The 23070-nt window shown below is 42.4% G+C and overlaps 1 protein-coding gene across 5 annotated transcripts in view, besides 3 other annotated features; it reads right to left on the bottom strand.

The window, feature by feature from the left end:
• Nucleotides 1-16383, bottom strand: part of IREB2 (iron responsive element binding protein 2) — a 64023-nt gene extending 47640 nt beyond the window's left edge. For 3 of the 5 annotated variants that reach the window (NM_004136.4, NM_001320941.2, NM_001320943.2), the window contains exons 1-2: nt 15458-15598; nt 13933-14019 (exon numbers count right to left, since the gene is read on the bottom strand). In NM_004136.4, the coding sequence (NP_004127.2) occupies nt 13933-14019; nt 15458-15476 (106 nt within the window). In that variant the 5' untranslated portion in view covers nt 15477-15598. Of the gene's footprint in view, nt 1-13932; nt 14020-14957; nt 15394-15457; nt 15599-16092 lie in introns of those variants that run through there. The other 2 variants (NM_001354994.2, NM_001320942.2) reach the window with 2 other exon arrangements.
• Nucleotides 15144-15383: a silencer, noted in NCBI's record as "silent region_6711". NCBI's record gives its function as "represses an Ori minimal core promoter by ATAC-STARR-seq in GM12878 lymphoblastoid cells {active_cell/tissue: GM12878}" and the evidence as "EXISTENCE:reporter gene assay evidence [ECO:0000049][PMID:35858748]".
• Nucleotides 15854-15913: an enhancer, noted in NCBI's record as "active region_9918". NCBI's record gives its function as "activates an Ori minimal core promoter by ATAC-STARR-seq in GM12878 lymphoblastoid cells {active_cell/tissue: GM12878}" and the evidence as "EXISTENCE:reporter gene assay evidence [ECO:0000049][PMID:35858748]".
• Nucleotides 15984-16063: an enhancer, noted in NCBI's record as "active region_9917". NCBI's record gives its function as "activates an Ori minimal core promoter by ATAC-STARR-seq in GM12878 lymphoblastoid cells {active_cell/tissue: GM12878}" and the evidence as "EXISTENCE:reporter gene assay evidence [ECO:0000049][PMID:35858748]".
• Nucleotides 16384-23070: the final 6687 nt, after the last annotated feature.

Genomic DNA, 23070 nt, shown 5'->3' with positions numbered 1-23070 from the left:
AATTAATTCTTATCTTCATCCACTCTCCTTAAAATTTAATCTCTATTTATCTTCTAGAGGACCTAGCCCCGTTTCCTACCTCACTGATAAATAGAAACTAACAGTTCCTACCTCTCAACTTCCTCCTACTATACCCACAAGCCTTGCTGCCTCTGGATTCACCCTTTCACCAGTTAAGGGAGCTGCGGACTTCCTCCTACTAAATGATAACTTCTCTATAGGAGTTTTGCATCCTATTTCCATTAACCATTTTAGGACTCAAGAGTCATCAATCATTTCCTCTCTCCTTTTTTTGCAAACTGGTTTGCAATTCAACTGGTTTCTTCCCATCAACATTTAAACAGCTCCTAGCCCCAGTTGACAACAAAAGTACTGCTTCCTTCAAATTCTCTAAAAGTGCCCACTTTTCTACCTTCCACTCACCTTAGCCCTAATCAATATTATTTCTGTCCTTAAACACGAATGAAGCAGGTCTAGCTAGAATCCCAACAGCCTTGTAGCAATATTCAAAAGAGCTAATAATTACCTCCTTTTTGAAACACTCTTTCTACTGGATTCCACAGCACCATCCTCCAGTTTTCCTTCTAACATATTGTTGGAAGACAATTTTCCATGTCTCCCATCTCACATTTCTTCAAGACTTGTGAACAGAGGTAATGACTACCTTTGTTCCAGACTATTTTTTCAGATATGTCTATATAGTGAATAGTTTTCAAATACACGATAGCGTCTTGCTCTGGAGCAAAGAGCAGGCATGCTTACTACCCATTATAAAAGACTTGGGTTTCCTAAGCCACAGTTCCTTTTCTGTAAGTAACACAACACCTGTGTGTGCAGGTGTTACCTGGCCTTCTTCAACATTACCCTATAGAAACTAGAGCTTGGGAAACCAACATAAATACTGTTAATAAGGATAATGCTTTGCTGTGAGTAATAAACTGTCCATTGTCTCTGATCCAGGAGTTGGGTGCCTCCTGCCAACATACATGAAACTACGTCAGGCTAATTTGTTAACTTCCAAGGAAGGTAAAATTTTAGATCCTTTATAGTTCTTTTTCATTTTTTTAAAATTGAAATGGGGGTCTCACTATGTTGCCCAGGCTGGTCTCGAACTCCTGGGCTCAAGAGATCCTCCCGCCTCAGCCTCCCAAAGTGCTGAGATTACAGGTGTGGGTCACCATGCCAAGCCTCCTTTATAGTTCTTAACACTTCTAGGTAGGCCTATCTTCCTTGTTAACCTCTACTCCTTTATCTGATATCTAAATGTAGGAGTTCCTCAGAGTTCATATTGAGACTCACTTTTTTTCTTACTCTATACTGCTTCCTCCAGGGAGTACAACTGCTCCTATGGCTTCAATTATCACTACATCTACACTAATAATTCCAAAATATTTTCTGTAGTCCAAGTCTGTCTTCTAAGCTCCAAAACCACATGCCCGATTCAGGAGGTGAACATGTTTACTTTAATACTGGTATGTTCCCAACTTCACTAGTACCTAAACTTGAACTCAGTGATTTCCCCTCTGCCCCTTCCCCTTATCATCACCTCATCTTCCATTCCCTAGCACAGTAAATAGCACCACCATCCTTCCAGATGTTTATGCCAAAACATCGAGGCATTTTCCTCAATGCCTCTCTCCTACATCTTTTTGTCTTCTATCAATATCACCATTAAATCTAGTCCCAACCACCAGTACATCATCTCTCACTTAGGTTCCCTAGGTGGTCCCCCAACCCTATACTGTGATTTTCGAAATGTGGTCCTAAACTGCTGATGCCTTAGCAGGACTCAAAGCAGTGGCACCAAATTGTACTACAGGTTGAGTATCCCTAATCCAAAAATCCAAAATCCACCAGGTGTGGTGGCTCACTCCTGTAATCCTAGCACTTTGGGAGGTTGAGGCGAGTGGATCACCTAAGGTCAGGAGTTTGAGACCAGCCTGACCAACATGGTGAAACCCTGTTGGACGCAGTGGCTCACACCTGTAGTTCCAGCTACTAGGAAGGCTGAGGCAGGAGAATCGCTTGAACTAGAGGCAGAGGTTGCAGTGAGCCAAGATTGTGCCATTGCACTCCAGCCTGGGAGACTAGAGTGAAACTCCATCTTAAAAAAAGAAAAAAGAAAAAAATCCAGAGTGCTCCAATGAGCATTTCCTTTGAGCGTCAGTGCTCAAAAAGTTTCAGATTTCAGATTTTCAGATTAGGGATACTCAACCTGTAGTACTCGTATTGTTTACTGTCACACAAAATACCAGTTTCACTTAAAAATGTCCCTAAGAAGCAGAAAAACTGTTAATTTTATTAAATCTCAACTGCTGAGGTCAAGTCTTAATATTCTGTGTGACAAAAATGAAATATATTTATACAATATTTCTACTCGAAAACAAAGTACATCAGTTGCTTGCAGAAAAACTCTTGTATGATTGAGCTGCAAGCTAAAATTAAGCTTTTTTTTTTTTTAAAGAACAGTTTTTCACTTGAAGGAACTGACAAACTATGGTTATTCAAATGTGTACATTTGGCAAAAAGTTTCTCAAAAGTGAATGAAGGCTGAGCACGGTGGCTCACACCTGTAATCCCAGCACTTTGGGAGGCCGAGGTGGGTGGATCATCTGAGGTCAGGAGTTCGAGACCAGCCTGGCCAACATGGTGAAATCCCATCACTACTAAAAATACAAAAAATTAGCCAGGTGTGGTGGTGGGCGCCTGTAATCCCAGCTACTCGGGAGGTTGAGGCAGGAGAATCGCTTGAACCTAAGAGATGGAGGTTGCAGTGAGCCGAGATTGAGCCACTGCACTCCAGCCTGGGCAACAGAGCAAGATTTGAATGAAATAAGCTTCTACAGTCTGCTCATTACATTATTGGTCTTTGAGAAATAAGAGTTCATCAAGTTATGCAGAACTTCCAAAGGTGGACACCATTACATTGTATATTAAAATACACACACACACACACACACACACACACACACACACACACACACACACAAATTTGTTAATATCACCACAGCCCTCTCAACTTAGGAGCTGGAGTTCCTACATAGCTGTACACTCTGAAGGCATCCTGCCTGTGCCAGTACCTGGACTGAGGCACCCCCGTAAAGAAGGCCTGCTGCTCTGACAGCACGTGGACTACATCTGTAAGCTGCCTCGAGGGTCATATATTGAGCTGTCACTCCTTCTACAAGCCCCGACATGGCCCATGAGCTCTGAAGGGCTCTTGCCCCCTACCAGCATCTGTTTTCCCAACGCATGCCCACACCACTAGTTCCTGATCATCAGATCCCTGCCTGCACTCCAGAGGGTGGCCTACTGCCTACCCAGCAACTCCAGACCAGCTCCAACCTGGCCAAAACCAATATACTTCTCTGTTATCTGTGGGCCAACCCACACCTATTCCAGTGAGTTCTGAACCTCTTCCAAGTTTGTCCTTCCTTGGGTATTCTCCCTTAGCCCTACAGTATTATATACAATTATCCTGTATTACAATTACTCTTACCATAGTTAATAATTATGTATATTAAGCTTCCTCTGTTTAACCTATTATGTGGTTTCTATCTCCTGACTGGACCCAAATTGCTACAACATAGTACTGTACTTCACATATACTTTCCATGTATGTCCCCATTACTAAACCGTGTCTTTTCTTTAGCACAGATGCTATCTTAGCCATCTTTCATTTGCTAGAAATATACAAGTACTCAATAAATATTAGCTCAATAAATTAAATCATATTGTTTAGAGACTCATGCAACAAGTAAAAAAAATGCACTGGATTACGTCTGCCTCTTCTAATCAGGAATTTCTAGAATTCTATGAATCCATAAAGCTAACCCTTTAAGGACAGGTAATTAAAAACGCCATGGAGGAACTGGGATGATGGTAATTTAAACTGGTTTAGTATAGTAATTCGTGTCATCACACTTCTAAAATAAGCTGATAACAATAAATATCCTTTTGATCAGTTACTTAGTGGAAGATCCAATAGGTGGTTCGGCTCTGAAAAAAAAATGCTGAGGTCTGCTATTTGTATACGGGAAGCATCCGATGAAAGGCAAACCAAGGCTCCCAAGACTGCAGATTCTACTATTCAAGGCTAAATAGCTGCTGCAAAGATTAGAAAACACAGTGTATCTCTCAGTACAGAGGTCACAAACTCTGTTTCATGTCTGCTGGCTTGCAGACATGTTTTGCTTGTTCTGCAGAGTTTTAACATTTTAAATTTAACTGCCAACATTTAAAAAACTACAGGTCTTTCAATCAGAAAACTTTACAATACCAACCTTGTACTTCTGCTGGAACTTAGTAAGCACCTACCTCTCTATATAGGACATGTGCCTTCCTGTTTGCCACACAATTCCCAGCAGAACATTTCACTTGTTTACGTTGCCTCTCTGATCCCTATAAACATGAGCTTGCAACCCCTGCTGTAACAGGTTTTTACAAGCATAGGTTTTGGAATCAAGATTTTTGTTCATGCTTCTGTTCCACCACTTAGTAGGTAACGGTAATTAGTTGTGGGACCTTGGCCAAGTGTATAACAGAGCTTATAGAACTGGATACGGTAAATACATACTCAACAAATACTTAAAAAAATTTTTTTTATTACTGACATTACTAAACCGGGAAACAGAATGGTATTGGAAAGAAAAGGCGTTGGTCTTGAAATCAGAAGATATGAGTTTAAGACTAAGTTTCCTCACCTAGAAGATATGTTGTGACCTTAGGCAAATTACTCAGATTTTTAACCTTATCTGTATTATCTGTACACAACAGATTTAAAACTATCTTCCGTGCTTATCATGAAGCAGCACACTGAAGTAAAAGGGTTTTGATATTTGCAGAAATGGAAAATTCCAAGTTCAAGCAGTAGTGAAGAAATTACCCATAGGGAATATTAGTACTCTAGTAAGCAGGCTTTAGATAACTACATGTAACAGAGAAACCCATCAGCCTGAAGGAAGGGGGAAAGACTCTGAAGCCACAGGTTCTCTAGGCCTGCCAAAAGCCCTCAAAGAGATTCCATCTTTGGAGTCCAGACTGGGAAAGGGGGCTAGGACACCAGAGCAGAAACCAGCCAGCATAGCTACAGGGTAAAGCTAACCCTGCTGAAGGCTAGGGGCCTGGAGAAAAGATAAGGAAGCTGTTCTAGAAGGCCCTGTAATCCCATCAGGCCTGGCAACAGGACTAACCCATGCCTATGTCTGACTAGAGTCAAGTAAGTGTTTCTGTCTCTAACCAGAACCAGGCGGGATAGGGCTGATTTCCAATAAACAAAGTCTGACCTCCACAGAACAAGACCTTATTTCTTCAAATAAATAAATAAATTCTGACCTTTTTTTTCTCTCTTTTAAAATATATTGCCATTGGGCCCGGCGTGATGGCTCACGGCTGTAATCCCAGCACTTTGGGAAGCTGAGGCAGGGAGATCACATGAGGCCAGGAGCTCGAGACCAGCCTGGCCAACATGGTGAAACCGCATCTCTACTAAAAATATAGAAATCAGCCGGGCGTGGTGGCGTGCACCTGTAATCCCAGCTACTTGGGTGGCTGAGGCACGAGAATCACTTCAACTTAGGAGACAGAGGTCACAGTGAGCTGAGATCATGCCACTGCACTCCAGCTGGGATGACAGAGCAAGACTCTGTCTCAAATAAATAAATATATACATACATACATACATACATTGCCATTGAGAGAGTCTGAGGAAGCAGAAAACAAAACAGATTCCTGCATAAGATTTTGTTTTTTCACCTGTACTGGCACGTCCTCAGAATGCCTATACCACAGCCCTCTTTCTAAAAAGTTCCTTCTATACCAATTGCTGGTGGGCTCTGTGTAGCCTTGCCATCCTGGCATGAATAGCTGGGACCTGGAGCCAGCCTTCCAACAGACAACCAATTTACAGTCTGGCCAGTGGCACAGGGAGTTCGCCAAGCACAAATGTCATGTCCAATAGGCTGCCTCAGCCTCGTTCTGTGATACCTTGAACTTGACTTAGGGAGAAGGCAGAAAACAGATGGAAACAAAAAAGAACCAAGAGAAAAAGAAAAGCAGAATAATGGGCCGGGCATGGTGGCTCACGCCTGTAATCCTAGCACACTGGGAGGCCAAGGCAGGAAGACTGCTTGAGGTCAGGAGTTCAGGAGACTCCCGTCTCTATAAAAGATAAAAAAAAAATCAGAGCGGGAGTGGTGGCTCACGCCTGTACTCCCAGCACTTTGGGAGGCCGAGGCAGGTGGATCATCTGAGGTCAGGAGTTTGAGACCAGCCTAGCCAACATGGTGAAATGCCATCTCTACTAAAAATACAAAAATCAGCCAGGTATGGTGGCACGCACCTGTAATCCCAGCTACTCAGGAGGCTGAGGCAGGAGAATTGCTTGAACCTGGTAGGCGGAGGTTGCAGTGAGCCGAGACGGTGCCACTGCATTCCAGCCTGGGTGACAGAGCAAGAGTCCGTCTCAAAAAAAAAAAAAAAATTAGCCAGGTGTAGTGGTGTCTTCTTGTAGTGGGAGGCTGAGATGGGAGGATTGCCTGAGTCCAGGAGGTTGAAGATGCAGTGAACTATGACTGCATCACTGTACCCCAGCTTGAGTAACAAAGAGAGATCCTGTCTCAAAAAAAAAAAAAAAGAAAGAAAGAAAAGAAAAAGAAAGGAAAGCAGAAATAGGGAAAATCAGCTAAGCCAGAATCATGGGTTCTATGCATGCCTACTGAAGGGAACAAAGAGTCTGATCTGACCACGCACTCAGATCCCCTCAATTTCCTTATTTCCTTCAAATCTTCACAATAAACCCCCCAATTTAATGTAGAAGAAAGTTTTTTTTCTTCTCTTCATTCACTGACAGAAATTGAGCCAACAAGAAAAATAATATCTACTATTGATGAAGGTGCAGAAACACATATTCTTCTCATTCACTGGTAAGCATGTAAACTGGCATTCTTTGCTAACACTATACAACAGATGTCCTTCATGGTGCCTGTCCAAACTGCTACAGTTCTCGGTGGCCTGTGGCCTCCTTGGCTACAGCAGCGACGCAAAAGCCAATCCCCTGGTAGGCTGATGACCAAAAGTCTTGTGAGAAAGGAGACACTGGGGCAATTAGATTCACCTCTCAGAAATGTGTAATCAGGACACAGAGAGACTGAACTGGAAAGGTGTTAAGAGCTAAGCTAGGGACTGAGGTTGCCATTTGAGGCCATGTACAAAGTGAGCAGGCAGAGGAGGCTTGTCTATAGTGAAGTGGAGGAAGCAGAAGAGTGGAACAGGGCAGAAATCTGAAGCTCCTAAGAGAAAATAATAAACAACTTCCTTAATTCTGGGCCACCACCATTTTCTTGAGAGACAGCCACATTTCATTGGCCTGGGGAGCGCTGTATCATTACAATAAATCCTTCTTCACTCGAGCTAGTGTCTGTTCCTTGGAACCAAAAGGGCCTAATCTAGAATAGAAATTGGCAATAAAAACAAAGTTGAAATGTGGAGGGTTGGTGAGCACATGGCTATACATGGACTAGTAGGATGATGTTAGGTAAAGGTAATCCTTGGAAAGTTATGTACTATGTGTACAAATTACAAGCAAACTGTTACATTGCTTACCCAACCCAGTCTTTTCAAGAGTCCACATAAAAGACAAGATGAACAGATTTGTGTCTCTACCAGCAAGATCACCAGACCGGCAATAGACTCCTGACAAGTGCAGTCAAAATAGGTTAAAACAACAGGTGAGCTGGATACAATGGATCACACCTGTAACCCCAGCACTTTGGGAGGCTGAGGCAGAAGGATCACTTGAAGCCAGGATTCAAGACCAGCCTAGGCAATGTAGGGAGACCCTGTCTCTACAAAACATTTAAAATTTAGCCAGGCATGATGGCATGTGCTTGTAGTCCCAACTACTTGGGAGACTGAGGAAAGAGGATCACTTGAGCCCGGGAGGTCCAGGCTGCAGTGAGCCATGATCGAACCACTACACTCCAGCCTGGGCAACAGAGCAAGACCCTGAGGGAAAAAACAAAACAAACAAAACAAAACAAGTAAAAGAGTCACCTAGAGGTACACTCTTAACCGGTTAGTAATCCAGTCATAACATACAAGAATGGTCAGCAGTGGCCATATTGGGCATTATACAAAAATGAGTAAGTGAAGTAGGCTGTAGAGATGGAAGACTGGATATTCAAAAAGAAACAGAAAATAAGGAAACCAGGCAGCCTTTAAGTGACAAACAGAACACTGCCTCTGGCTTAGAAATTCTGGTTCCCTGAAACTTGACTATGCTTTCTTCCTTTGTCTTTGGATGTCTGGAAACTGCAACCTATTTTTTACTTGAGTGAGTTTTTGTTCTTTTTAGTCCAAGGTAAAGACTGGAACCAGACCGGGTGCAGTGGTTCATGCCTGTAATCTCAACACTTTGGGAGGCCAAGGCAGGTGGATCACCTGAGGCCAGGAGTTCCGAGACCAGCCTGGCCAGCATGGCGAAACCCTGTCTCTACTAAAAATACAAAAATCAGCAGGGTGTGAAGGCATGGGCCTGTAATCCCAGCTACTCCAGAGGCTGAGGCAGAAGAATCACTTGAACCCAGGAGTTGGAGGACGCAATGAACTGAGACTGTGCCACTGCACTCCAGCCTGGGCAACACAGCAAGACTCTGTCTCAAAAAAAAAAAAAAAAAAATAAAGACTGGAACCAACAGTAAATAGTGAAAGTATAAAAATAAAAGCGTGTGATGGGGTGGAGGAAATAACATACTTTCAATCCAACAATTCTATATAATGATAAGTTTGCACAAAAATGTAAGTATTAGCACATACAAAGTTTATTTATAAATAGAGAAAAGTTACTATCAGCCTCAATATTCAAAGGTCTGTTAACTAAACCACAATGCATTCATACAGGCAATATTGTGCAGCTATTAGAAGCCACAGAGAAGTACAGGTATCCCTTTCTACCTGAACTCAAGCTCCCTGACTCAGAAACCAAGTAGATTCAGATAGCAAGGGATACCTGTATTCAATGACATGGAAAGATGTTCATGATATATTAAGTGAAAAAAAGGGTTACAAAACAACATATACTTTATTTTTATTAAAAGTAGCATATTTACATATATTTTTGTATACACATAAAAATGAGACTTTCTGTACCATCTGCAATGTTCTTGTCTTTTTGTGATTCTTCTAAATGATAAAAACTCTCCTAAAAAATTAAATACAGGATTTTCTTCCAAAGGCTGCAAGGTAGGATTTGGACACTAAGTCCCGGCTCTACTGGAGGACTAAGCAGTACTGTGGTTAAAAAGGCAAGCAGACAGGAAGGACAAAAGAAAGGGTGAATAAGATGACCTGAGATAAAGGGTGCCTGGGGGCTTTACACCACCAGAGGCCCTGTTGCCCAGTAACAGGTACTCTCTCAAAACTACCTTTCACTCCAGCCAGGCCAGTCTCTCCACCATCTTCCCCTTCATTCAACATAGTCATTCATGTTTCCATTATGCTGTTCATTCTAATTCTCTGATGTTAACTGTCCTCCATCATACATGGAGACACCACTGATTTCTCCACTCCTTAAAAATAGCAATAGTTTCAAATTCAGAGATCTACTTAAGAGAGTCACCCAAATCAGCTACTTGAGAGGGTGAGGTGGGAGGATCTCCTGAGCTCAGGAGTTCAAGGCTCCAGTGAGCTATCATCATGTCAGAGCACTCCAGCCAGGTTGACAGTAAAACTCCATCTTTATAATTTTTTTTTTTAAAGAGTTACTCAAAATCTACATTTTGAGACTACCTAGATTTTGACATGTTTCTAGTCAGCACATTGGGAGTGCCAGACAGCCAGCTCCAGAATATTAAAGAGATTCCCCACAACTGGCTGCGTGCAGTGGTTCACGCCTATAATCCCAGCACTTTGGGAGGCCAAGGCAGGAGGACTGCTTGAGGTCAGGAGTTTGAGACCAGCCTTGTTAATATGGCGAAACTCCATCTCTACTAAAAATAAAAAATCAGCCGGATGTGGTGGCACACACCTGTAGTCCCAGCTACTTGGGAGGCTGAGGCACGAGAATCGTTTGAACCCTGGAGATGGAGGTGGCAATGAACCAAGATCATGCCACTGCACTCCAGCCTAGGTAACAGAGCGAGCCTCTGTCTCAAAAAAACAAAACAAAATAAAACAAAAAACAAAAAAAACCCCACAAAAAATAAAAAAACAAAGGAGATTCCCCACAAGCAAAATCATACAAGATCAAAATGTAATCAATGTCTAAGATGTGCCCACTTCCATAGAGATACCCTGAGTATAAATTTGGGAAGCAAAAGGATAAAATGGCAGTAAAAAAGCAGAAATCAAATAATCTGTGTTGAACTCTATCTAAAGTCAGAATAAGAGAAGGCATCAGGTTGGTAACGCAGATAGATTAGGCTGGTTCACTCACCACCCACTCCCAACCACTTCTCCCTTTCCTTTCTCTATTGTAAAAGATGTAAAGGTAAAATACAGTACCCCATCTTATCTATGGTTTGGCTTTCTGTGGTTTCAGTTACCTGCAGAACAGCACAATAAGATACTTTGAAAGAGAAAGACCATATTCACATAACTTTTATTACAGTACATTGTTATAACTGTTCTATTTTATTATTAGTTATTATTAATCTCTACTGTGCCTCATTTATAAATTAAGTTTTATCATAGCTATGTATGTATAGAAAAAAATATATACCAAACAGTACATACACGGTTTGGTAGTACCCATAGTCTCCGGTGTCTACTGAGGGTCTTGGAACATATCCCCCATGAGTAAGAGAAGACCTTGATTATTCCATCTTTCAGCCTTCTTGAAGCTAAGAGTGGCCACTGATACTTTGGCCAAAGAGGCAAAAGCCCCTGGAGAGGGCTTTTATCATGGTTATAAAAACTGGTAATTCTGGAATTATGTTAAGTACACATGTACTCTGTACAGTTATGTACAAATTCCCATGACAGCTTATTTCCCAGGGAAAATTTAACTTGGACATAATGCCTGGAGGTGCAACCAAAAGAATAAAAACAGAACGGGAAGAAAGGACGAGCCTAGATCCTTGCGGAGATTGGTGCTGCACAGCCCCAGTCTGCCAATCTCCACACTTCGTTATGTTAGAAAAATAAACTCGTATTTCTTAAAGTCATTGGACAGCAAGTTTTCAGTTCTTTGCAGCTGCAGGCATCCCTGACATAGTCAGCATGGAGCTTAGAACAGTGTTTCTCAACTATCTTTACTCTGTAACATTTATGAGGGATAGAATCCATTCCCTTCATTAATCGTTACTCATTACAACAGTCATTCTCAACCTAGCAGGCATCAAAATGTGGAATGGAGGTGGAGAAGACTGGCTCTGTACCTTGGTGACTACCAAAGCAATGTCTTCTTGTAAGCATATGTCTAGGAGGCAATTCAATCTGATCCTTTCAAAAATGCAATAAGGATTTTTTGTTCTAAGGTTAAACAACCAAATACTTCCTACCTAACTTGTTCCTTTCTTTCAAAGTCAATTCTTCAAATTTTATTCCTTATTAGGAAATTACTTAAGTAATTATTACTTAATAACCTCTCATAATAAGCACTCTATTAAAAAAGCAGGAGGGGCTGGGCGCAGTGGCTCACTCCTGTAATCCCAGCACTTTGAGAGGCTGAGGTGGGTGGATCACTTGAGGTCAGGAGTTTGAGATCACCCTGACCAACATGGTAAAACCACCATCTCTACAACTAGCTGGGTGTGGTGATGCACGCCTATAGTACCAGCTACTTGGGAGGTTAAGGCACGAGAATCGCTTGAACTCAGGAGGCAGAGGCAGCAGTGAGCTGAGATCACACCATTGCACTCCAGCCTGGGTGACAGAGCAAGATCCTGTCTCAAAAAAATAAGTAAAATAAAATAAAATAAAATAAAATAAAAACCAGGGTACTGACCCCACATAAAAACCAACTTTCTGTTTTGAAAGTATTTATAGTCACAGGTATTCTATTATTACATTTATCATGGTTATAAAAACTGGTAATTCTGGAATTATGTTAAGTACACATGTACTCTGTACAGTTATGTACAAATTCCCATGACAACTTATTTCCCAGGGAAAATTTAACTTTCAGATTATCAATCATTCCCTTTCAATGCATTTTACAGTTGTTTTTGACAGTTTCCTACTGATTCCTTAAATTTGAGAAATTTAGGTCATCTTCCTTCAAGTAAGCACATTTCTACAGATTATACACAGAAAGTATTTATACTCAATTTTCAAAACATCTTATGTGCTCCTTTAATTTATTAAACTATGAAATTTGGGTTAAAAGACTTCCAAGCCAGTATCACTAGATTATTTTGGAGAAGTAAATGGGAAATAAAATGACTATTCTTGTAAACGATCAATCTAGCTGTTTCTTTTCAAAATTAATGCAAACTCACCATCAGTGAAGGGATAAAATTAATGTGAAAGACATACATTAAGAAAATGACCAACTTCCTTTAACAAACGTATCAACACAAATCACTGCAGCTAAACATGCAAGGTAAAGGATATTGCTCTCATTTTGGCAAACTGTTTATTTTTAAATGACAGCCTAATTCTAAAATGGGGATTCTTTAAGATACTCCAAAATAGCTGTATTTCACAATACACAAAAAATATTGCACATAGCAGTCAAGAATATTTAAATTCCTCAAAATCTACAGAAAAATCACAAGAACAATCGTCTTAATTAAATAATGCAAGAAAAAACAAGATTAAAGCTCCTTCCAAAACTGACTGCAACAGATGTGGCATTCAATTTATCTTTTCATGTCATTGTCATGGAAAAGTTCACAAAGAATAATGAGTCTTCTAAAGAGGTCTCTCTATTGGCCCAATTGAGAAAGTTACTCAACTGTTAGTAAAGTCAAAACTTCCATTCAATGCCCTATAGGTCGCCCACATTCACTCTTCTGAGACCACAGAGAAAGGTTTGACCCTGATAAGGTCAATGAGAATGTCTGCCAAAACTGCAGGTGTGTAGGTTGGGGCAAACCATGCCCAATACTTCAGAAAAATTCAAATCAATGGGTCCTGTTGGTGATTCCTATTCAACAGATGGCAAAAAGAATAGATGTGGGCACTGTTCATTTGACAAAGTAAAACAGGCCAGGCATAGTGGCTCAGGCCTGCAATCCCAATACTTTGTGAGGCTGAGGCAGATGCATCACTTAAGGTCAGGAGTCTGAGACTAGTCTGGGCAACACAGCAAGACCCCAACTCTACAAAAAATATAAAAATATGTTTTTATATAAATGTGTTGGCATACACCTGTAGGCCTTGTTACTTGGGAGGCAGAGGCAGGACTGCTTTAGCCCAGGAGTTCAAGGCTGTATGAGCTATGATCACAACACTGTGCTCTAGCCTGGGCAACAGAGCAAGACTCTGTCTCAAAAAAAAAAAGAAAAGAAAAGAGAAAATAAAATATACATTTAATTGGTGTAGAATTATCATCAGTCAGTCAGGTTCTTCTAAAAATCACATTAGGCCAGGCGCAGTAGCTTACATGTGTAATCCCAAAACTTGGGGAGGCAGAGGTGGGAGGATTATTTGGGCCCAGGGGTTCAAAACTAGCCTGGGTAACATAGCAAGACCCCTGTCTTCACAAAAACAAGAAAAAAAAAAGTTTGAAAACTGCATTATTGGTTTCTTTGAGGGGAAAAACTAGTGCTTAATTAACTTAGATTTTTAAATGAGAAGTTAAGGTGTGGGCCTACATCTTCCCTGAACAGAAGTTGTCCCAGGAGGAGTTTTTAAAATGGTATAGGTATGTGTAGGTGTACCTGTTACAATACGGTGGAAATACATTTAAAATTTCTTCAGCTCAGCTTGACAAATGCATTTTCATTATTAGAGACTAAACAAACCCAAGAAAATGTAAAGCAACATTACCATACTTGGTGCCAAGTTTAGATACATCGAAGAACTTCTTATGTGAACTGTCATTTAATGTTTCAATAAGGTACTCAAAGGCGTATCCTGAAAAAAAAATTGTATTTTCATTAAATGCAGCAACAAAATATTTTATTCAGCTGAAAATACCTGGAAACTAGCTTTATCCAATAGAATTTTCTGCAATGGTAAAAATATTCTATGTTTGAGCTGTCCAGTAAAGTAGCCATTAGCAACGTGTGGCTATTGAGCACCTGAAATGTGGCTATCGTGCCTGAGGAACTGAATTTTTAATTTATTTAATTTTGATTAATTTAAAGTCACACAGGGCTAGTATCCACCACACTGGAAAGCATAGTTCTAAACCATAATTTGTCAAGTAAAAACTAGTAAGATAATTCACTCCTGAAATGTGATAAGAATACCTGGAAAGGGACAATAAGAATGATTTAAATAATCCACGGGGACGTTTTGGAAAGACATGTCTTGAAAACTGCAGAGACAGGAATTTGTGAATTCCACAATTAACATTAGAGGGACTGATTAAAAAAAAAAACTAAAAGACGGATTTTTACAGAGCATTCAATAAACCAAAACAAAAAAACTTCTCAGTTAAGTCCTTACCAGGGCTTAGTACTGAAAATAAAAGTAACAGAATCTCTAGGAAATTAGCATATTCTACCCGAAAGAGACAAGTCTTCTGGTTTTGCACGAACTGAAGCTGAACTACTAAGTCAAAGATCCAGAGGTCTCATTTAAACGTGCCTCAGCTCCCAACATTCTAGGGGGCAGTGGCGGGGAGGCAGCCCTGAGGTTGAAAAGAACCTTCAGATCTTTTGTGCAGACTCATAGCGGTGGGTGGCCAGGACCCTCAACATTGTTAAGGCTTTCATCCAAAAGGAGAAAACATAAGCACAGCCCATTTTCAGAATGAATAGTATTTTTTTCTCTTTTTTTTTTTTTGTAGAGGGAGGTGGACGGGGGAGGAGACAGCGGTGCAATAAATGGTCGGAGAACTGACTGACCAATGTTCAACCTTGACTGCCCCTCATTCGGCTTCCAGAGGCACAGAGAGACTGAGGGGCCTTAGGCTGGACCGTGGAATCAACATCTAGCTGCGTGAGACCCGAACACGGAGACGCAGGCCCCCGCCTTCATCGCTCGCCAATGGGGGGCGGGCAGGAGAAGACGGTGGGCCTCTCCCTGCCCCTGGTGTTGCTGACGGGGGCCAGGAAGCCGCTGGCAGCAGGCAGCGGCCACCGGAGAGAGAGGGGTGCGGGTCAAGGCCAGCGGTGGGGTGGCCCGCCCTGCGGGTGTCGCGCAGGAGGGTGGGGATCGGGAGCCCCAGCTTCCGCGGCCTAGGCTCAAAGGGCGGCCCAGCAGGCAGGCCCCGAGGGGAGCACAACCCGAGCCCCGAGGGCCTGGGCGCCTGCCGAGCGACTCCAGGCGAGAAAAGCAAGGAATTCGGCGCCTAGGCAGCGCGCGTTTCCAACTGCCAGACCCAGCTCGGAGGCCCGAAACTGACCTGCTTTTGGGGCGTCCATCGCCGGAGACCATATTATCCCTCCGGGGAGGGGGCCAGCGGGGGAAGAAGGGGGAGGCCGGGCAGGGAAGACGGGGAGGAAGACAGGCGGACTGGCAAGGGAGGAAAGAAGGAAGCAGGCTCGCGCAAATATCGCGAGAGCAGCAGAGCCAGCCCCGGGTCTGCGCTCGCGGGATTTGTCGCCTAACTCCCGCGAGATCGTCGGACAGGAAAACAAAGAAAGGGAAGGGGCGGAGCTAACCAGAAAGCGATTTCTCGCGCCGTCGCCGCTGTTCTCGCGAGCGGGGGCGGAGCGCTGGGGAGGCTCCAGTGGGGGCGTTGGCGTGGCTAGTTTGGCCTTCGCAGCGATCCGTTACTTAGTTGCGGCCTTAAGTTTTCTATTGGGGTCATGAATTCGAGCGGTGTTTGCGTTCCCGCAAGGTGTCTGTTGGAGTCAGGGTCGGAATCGGAACTGCTAGGAGAAAGAGCTCAAGGAGAACCGCTTTCCCCTAACTATAAAGCCTTGCATTAACTTGTCAGACGTGGGCGGCCCACACGCGTGTTTTCAAGTGGGGGCGGCCATACTGATCGGGCGCGTGGGAGGCGCTCAACTGTTGAATGAATGAATTTTTTCTTACCCTCCGGTAGCTTCCGTGATTGCCGACTTCTTCCCAGTGGCAGTTAACACATGCTTAAGCCTCTCCATCCTTCCGCCTCAGCTCCTCCGGTCCCTGTGTTCTCCACCTACCCAGCATTATCTCCTGTCGCAGCAACTTACCAGAAAGAGTCGCTCATACTCGGCTCTCCCCCACCCACTTCTTATCCTCTTCCAGTCTGGCTTCCACTCCCAGAAATGCCTTTAGCCAAGGCCAGCTATAACTCCACTTTCTAATCTCACATATCTCAATCTTGACTGGTTCTCTCCCATTGTTGAAAAATACTCTTCCATCAGCTTCTGTGACTTCAGACTCTACTTTTGTTTCTTCTCCTAAGGGTGCTTGATCTCAGGCTCCTCTGCAGACCTCTTCCTCCGCCCAGCTTTTAAATGTACTGGGCACTTGATGGGCACAGTAGCTCATGCCTGTAATTCCAGCACTTTAGGAGGCCAAAGTGGGAGGATGGCTTGAGCTGAAAAGTTCAAGACCAAACACAGCAACGTAGTGAGACCCTATCTCTACAAAAAAAATTTAAAAATTAGCTGAGTGTGGTGGCATGCACCTGTAGTCTCAGCTACTCAGGAGGCTGAGGTGGGAGGATCACTTGGGCCCAGGAGATTGAGGCTGTGGTGAGCCATGATTGCACCACTGCACTCCAGCCTGAGCAACACAGCAAGACCCTGTCTCAAAAAAAAATATATTGGACATTAAATGTGTCCCAGGGCTCTGGCCTTGTACCTCCTCCCTCTGTCCATTTTCCCTGGCCCATCTCACACTTCCTTTGACTTCAGTTATTAGTTAATATGTTGATGCTTCCCAGTCTGCCTGTGACCTGAGCCTATCTCCTAAACCCGGAGGTGTATATCCTAGTACCCATGGGATGCCTCCACATCCCAAGGCACCTCAAACTAAAAATCTCCAAAACTGAACTCGTCATTTCCCTCCTTAAACCTACTATTCCTTTTGTATTGCCTGTATTAGCGAATGGCGCCACCATCCACCTGGTTGCCCAAGCCAGAAATCAACACATTATACCTGACTCCTTCATCCACTCCCTTTAATCATTGATCCAAGCCCTGTCAACCCAAACTCCAATATATTTCCTTTATTCACCTTGCTATATTTTGTAACATCTCCTTTACAATCCCAGCATGAAATTCATAGGTAATATAATCTACATACACGATAAATAATCTACTTAATGACCTAACTGTAATATAAAGGAGAAAAATAGGAAAGTAATTTATTAGAAAATAATATGTATTATAATACGTAGCTGCACAGGCATGTCTATATTAGATGACAAAATTGAGTAGTCAGATGCTTGTATCTATTTATAACGAATGAGTTTGGTTTTACAGGACATATAATATTCGACTGGGCCAGGCACAGTTGGTAGCTCAAGCTTGTAATCCCAGCACTTTGGGAAGCCAAAGCTGCAGGATCGCTTGATGCTAGGAGTTTGAGACTAGCCTGGGCAACATGGTGAGACCCTGTCTCTACAAAAACTTAAAGAGTTAGCCAGACATAGTGGTGCATGCCTGTAGTACCAGCTACCGTGAGACAGAGGCAGGAGGATCACTTGAGCCCAGAAATTCAAGATTACAGTGAGCTATGATTGTGCCACTGCACTCCAACCTGGGAGACAGAATGAAACCCTGTCTCAAAAAAAGATAAGGCCGGGGCGGTGGCTCACGCCTGTAATCCCAGCACTTCGGGAGGCTGAGGCGGGCGGATCACGAGGTCAGGAGATGGGAGATCATCCTGGCTAACACGGTGAAACCCCGTCTCTACTAAAAGTACAAAAAATTACCCGGGCGTGGTGGCAGGCGCCTGTAGCCCCAGCTACTCGGGAGGCTGAGGCAGGAGAATGGCGTGAACCCAGGAGGCGGAGCTTGCAGTGAGCCGAGATTTCACCACTGAACTCCAGCCTGGGCAACAATGCAAGACTTCGTCTCAAAAAAAAAAAGATAATATTCAGCTGAATATGGTCAACACTTTTTATGTCTGACATTGCAAAATAAGGATTCAATATATACATACATATCATGCATAAATATATATTATGAATGCATATATGGTAAATGCACATATGTATAAAATGTACATATATATCATGAATGGCCTCTAAAGACTAATGAAAATATGTTAGTGACTTAAATATTGGAAGTGTTGTCACTATTGTGATTTTCTGAAATGGTGAATAACTCTTGATAAAGTTCAAAACAAAAAAAAAAAACCTTTGCTTTTTTTATGCAATAGTTGTATTCCTAGAAAATTCCGTATATATTAAAACCATACACAAATTACTTTTGTTTTTACTTGTATATGGGGTTAAACTCTAGGCTCAGATAATTATAAACAAATTTGTTGTTACTGTTTTTATGTTTGTGTGTATGTTTAATGTACTTGAATATCTGACAGTATGGGTCTTGTTTGATTCTTTTTTTTTTTGAGACGGAGTCTTGCTCTGTAGCCCAGGCTGGAGTGCAGTGACATGATCTTGGCTCACTGCAACCTCCGCCCCTCGGGTCCCGGTTCAAGCAATTCTCCTGCCTCAGCCTCCTGAGTAGCTGGGAATACAGGCACGTGCCATCATGCCCAGCTAAGTTTTATATTTTTAGTAGAGACAGGGTTTTACCATGTTGGCCAGGCTGGTCTTGAACTCCTGACCTCGTGATCCGCCCATCTCAGCTTCCCAAAGTGCTGGGATTACAGGCGTGAGCCACCGGGCCTGGCCCTTGTTTGATTCTTTGTTGTGTAATTCTATAGTGTGGAATGCAGGCAATCTAACATTCATTGAATCCCAAAAGTGCCCCATGATGGTGACAAACAAAAACACCCATTTTCTCAGTGTCCCGCTTCCACTGAGAAGCACTAACTTAGAACAATCATGATATGCTCCCGTGTGGCTGGACTCATTACTTTTTTTTTTTTTTTAACAGTTTTATTTACTTTTTGAAAATTTTATTTATTTTAAGACAGAGGTCTGTTTATTTGGCCTGGACCGATCTCAAACTCCTGAGTTCAAGGGATTCTCCCACCTCAGCCTCCCAAGTAGCTGGGACTACAGGCATATGCCATCTCAGTCAGCTTTAACAGTTTTATTGAGATTTAGTTTAAATATCATAAAATTTACCTATTGTTAAACATTCTTATTTTGTGACAATTGTAGATTTACATGTAGTTGTACTAAGTAATAAAGATCCCGTATACTCTTCACCTAGTCTTTCTCCATGTAGCATAGTACAATATAAAAACGAGCAAATTGACATTCATACAATCATTCCACCTTACTCAGATTTAGGCAGTTCTACATGTACTCCTTTGTAGGGTGTGTGTGTGTGTGTGTGTGTGTGCGCGCACATGCACGTGTGTATTTAGTTCACGTGTGTGGCTTTGTGTGGCCATCACTACAGTCAAGATATGGAACATTTCCAAGGATCCTTCCTGTTGCCGTTTTATAACCGCAGCTGTTTTCCTCCTAGGCTGCCATTTCCTCATCCCCTACACCCTATTTTGAATGCTATGCAAATGGAAGCTTATGGTATGTTTTCACTATACATTTTTTTTCAAGTTACATTTCCAGTGAGATTTTAGCACCCTTTTAGATCAGTGTCTCGGGCAATGTCCAGGCTGGTTCACCTCTCCTTTTTTTTTTTTGAGAGAGAGTCTCACTGTGTTGCCCAGGTTGGAGTGCAGTGGGGTGATCTCGACTCACTGCAACCTCCATCTCCTGGGCTCAAGTAATTCTCCCACCTCAGCCCCTGAGTTCCTGGGACCACAGGCGCACGCCACCATGCCCAGCTAATTTTGGTATTTTTTGTAGAGACAGGGTTTTCCTATGTTCCTTAGGCTGGTCTCGACTTCTGTACTCAAGCTGTCTGCCCACCTTGGCCTCCCAAAGTGCTGGGATTACAGGTATGAGCCACTGCACCTGGCCCATCTCTACTTTTTAAATTAAACATTTTATTTCGAAAAACAAAATTCAAGAATACAGAAGAATTGCAAGATAATTATAATAAAACTTCATATATACCTTAATTAGGTTTATTTATTTACTGTTAACATTTTGCCACATTTGCCTTGTCTCTCTCTCCCTCTCTGCTATTTCAGAGATAAGATCCTCATTATTTCTTATTCTTTTTCTTTTTTTGAGACACAGTCTCACTGTGTTGCCTGGTCTGGAGTGCAGTAGGTATTCACAGCAAGATCATAGTGCACTGTAGCCTCCAACTCCTGGATTCAATCAATCCTCCTACCTCAGCCTCCCAAGTAGCTGGGGCTACAGATGTGTGCCACTGCACCTGGCTATTTCTTATTCTCATTTTTTTGGTACCATTTCAGAGTAAATTTTAGAGATTATGACCCTTCAGTCCTGAGTACTTTATCATGTATCTACTAAAAATGATCAAATTCAGGAAATGTAATTGATACAACACAATCAATTGTATCAATACAATTCATATCCAAATTTTATGAACTTGAATCATCAAATGTTATTAATAATCCATATTCAAACATTGACACAGTTTACAATCCATATTTAAATTTTGTCAATTGTCCCAATATTGTTCTTTCTAGAAACTCTTCTCCAATCCAAAATGCTATCCAGGATAAAGCATTGGATTTAGATGTCGTATCTGTTTAGTTTTCTCTAATTTGGAACAGTTCCTTAGCGTTTCATTTTCTCTTATGGTATTGACATTTTTAAAGAGTATTGGCCCATTGTATTGTGGAATGTCCTTTAATTTAGGCTAGCCTGACTGTTTCTTCATGATTACATTTAATTATGCATTTTTGGTAGGTATGCTACATAAGTCATGTTGTGTTCTTTTTGGTGCATCATATCAGGAGGCACCTGCCTTTACTTAGTTCCTCTTTTTTTTTTTTTTTTTTTTTTTTTTGGGAATGGAGCCATCACTTAACTTAAAATCAGAGCAGAGTTTTAAGCCCAGGTCCATGAGACTCTATTTTTTTTTCTTCTTTTGAGACAGGGTCTTGCTGTTACTGAGGCTAGAGTGCAGTGACACAATCACAGCTGACTGCAGCCTTGACTACCTGGGCTCAAGCGATCCCCCCATCTCAGCCCTGCAAGTAGCTGGGACTAGAGGCATGTGCCACCACACCTGACTAACTTTTAAATTTTTTGTAGAGACGGGGTCTCCCTATGCTGTCAAGACTGGTCTTGAACTCCTGGGCTCAAGTGATCCTCCCACCTCAGCCTCCCAAAATGCTGGGATTACAGGCATGAGCCACTGTGGCTGGCCTCCATGACACTCTAGAGCCCATATTTTCACCCACCCACACCTCTGTGGTTAGACATGGTCTCAGTTATTACAGGGGGTGAGTTGGAGGCTCCCATGGCCTTTCTAAATCTCAGTATGATCTCTTAGTAGCTAAGTCCTCAGTGATGCTCTGTTCTTTCAATCTATGTTTTAGTTCTACACAGAGAAAGTCTGTTTGGTTATTGATAGTTCCAAAATAAATGTCTTATCTTCAAGAATCAAAAGCATGATAAACAAGATCTCCTGCCATTCTGTGGCTGACCTTTGTAGCCACTGCTGAGCCTGATCGTGGGTAAGAGGAGAGCAGTTGGCTGCCAGCCCTTGGCATATGAAATTAAAGGGAACCATTGCTCATCCAAAGCAGGTAACTGTATGTTCTGCCTATCAAGTCAAGAGGAATGCAGATAAGAGTTTTTTCTCTTCACCAATGAGAGTAGACCACACATTAAAAGGTTTTGTTGTTGTTGTTGTTTTGTTTGTTTGTTTGTTTTTGAGATGGAGTCTTGCTCTGTTGCCCAGGCTGGAGTACAGTGGTGTGAACTCAGCTCACTTCCACCATCCACCTCCCGGGTTCAAGCAATTCTCCTGCCTCAGCCTCCCAAGTAGCTGGATTTGCAGGTGTGTGCCACCATGCCTGGCTAATTGTTTTATTGTTGTAGAGACAGGGTTTCACCATATTTGCTGGGTTGGTCTTGAACTCCTGACCACAAGTGATCCTCCCGCCTCAGACTCCCAATGTGCTGGGATTACAGGTGTGAGCCACCGCACCCAGCCCACATATTAAAAGTTTTTAGAAGCTCACCGAAATCCCTGTCTGTTGCCAGCAGGTGATTAAGAATGTTGATGCAGGCTTATAGAGCAGAACACTGTCCTTGGAACTGTGTCAAGATATGGAAATGGAAAAGACCCTTATTCCTTGGACCCTAATTCCGTTTTCTAAGGGAAAATGCAGAACTGCCATCAGTAAAATGACATGGAAACATAAATTTCAAATGTACTGTTGTTATGGTTTGAATTGTGCCCCCACAAAATTCATATGTTGAAGTCTTAATTCCTAATACCTGTGTATGTGACCTTATTTGGAAATAAAGTCATTGCCGATGTAATTAGTTAAGACGAAATCATACTGGAGTAAGGTTGGTCCTAATCCAATGACTGGTGTTCTCCTAAGAAGAGAAAACAGGCACATAGACACACAGGGGAAAGCCCATGTGAAGAAAGTCAGCACGCAGAGAGAAACGCTGTGGGATCATGAAGATGGAGATAGGGCTGACAGGTCTACAAGCCAGGAAGAGAGGCCTGAAGCAAATTTTTCCCACAACTCCTAGAAGGATTCAACCCTGCCACCACCTTCATTTCTGACTTCCAGCCTCCAGAACTGTTAGGCAATAAATTTCTGTTGTTTAAGTCTCCCAGTTTGAGTAGTTTGTGACGGCAGGCCTAGGAAGTGAATACAAATACCTTTTTGGAAGACCCAAGGTACAATGAAGACAGTGCAGCAGAGCAGTCAGGAGTCCTGGGTTTCAATCCCAGCCTTGCCCCAATTCTGCTGTGTGGCTATGCCGACCTGAATGAATCTATCAGGCTTCAGCTGCAGAATTCACTGGTTGAAGTAAACTTTTTAGGTACAAGAATGATTTTTATAGACTGTGATTTTATGTTTCCACTTTCA

The sequence above is a fragment of the Homo sapiens genome, chromosome 15 (assembly GCF_000001405.40).
Source record: "Homo sapiens chromosome 15, GRCh38.p14 Primary Assembly".
Classification (NCBI taxonomy): Eukaryota; Metazoa; Chordata; class Mammalia; order Primates; family Hominidae; genus Homo; species Homo sapiens.
Note: the sequence above shows the minus strand (reverse complement) of the source record. Positions and strands in the feature narration are given on the sequence as shown.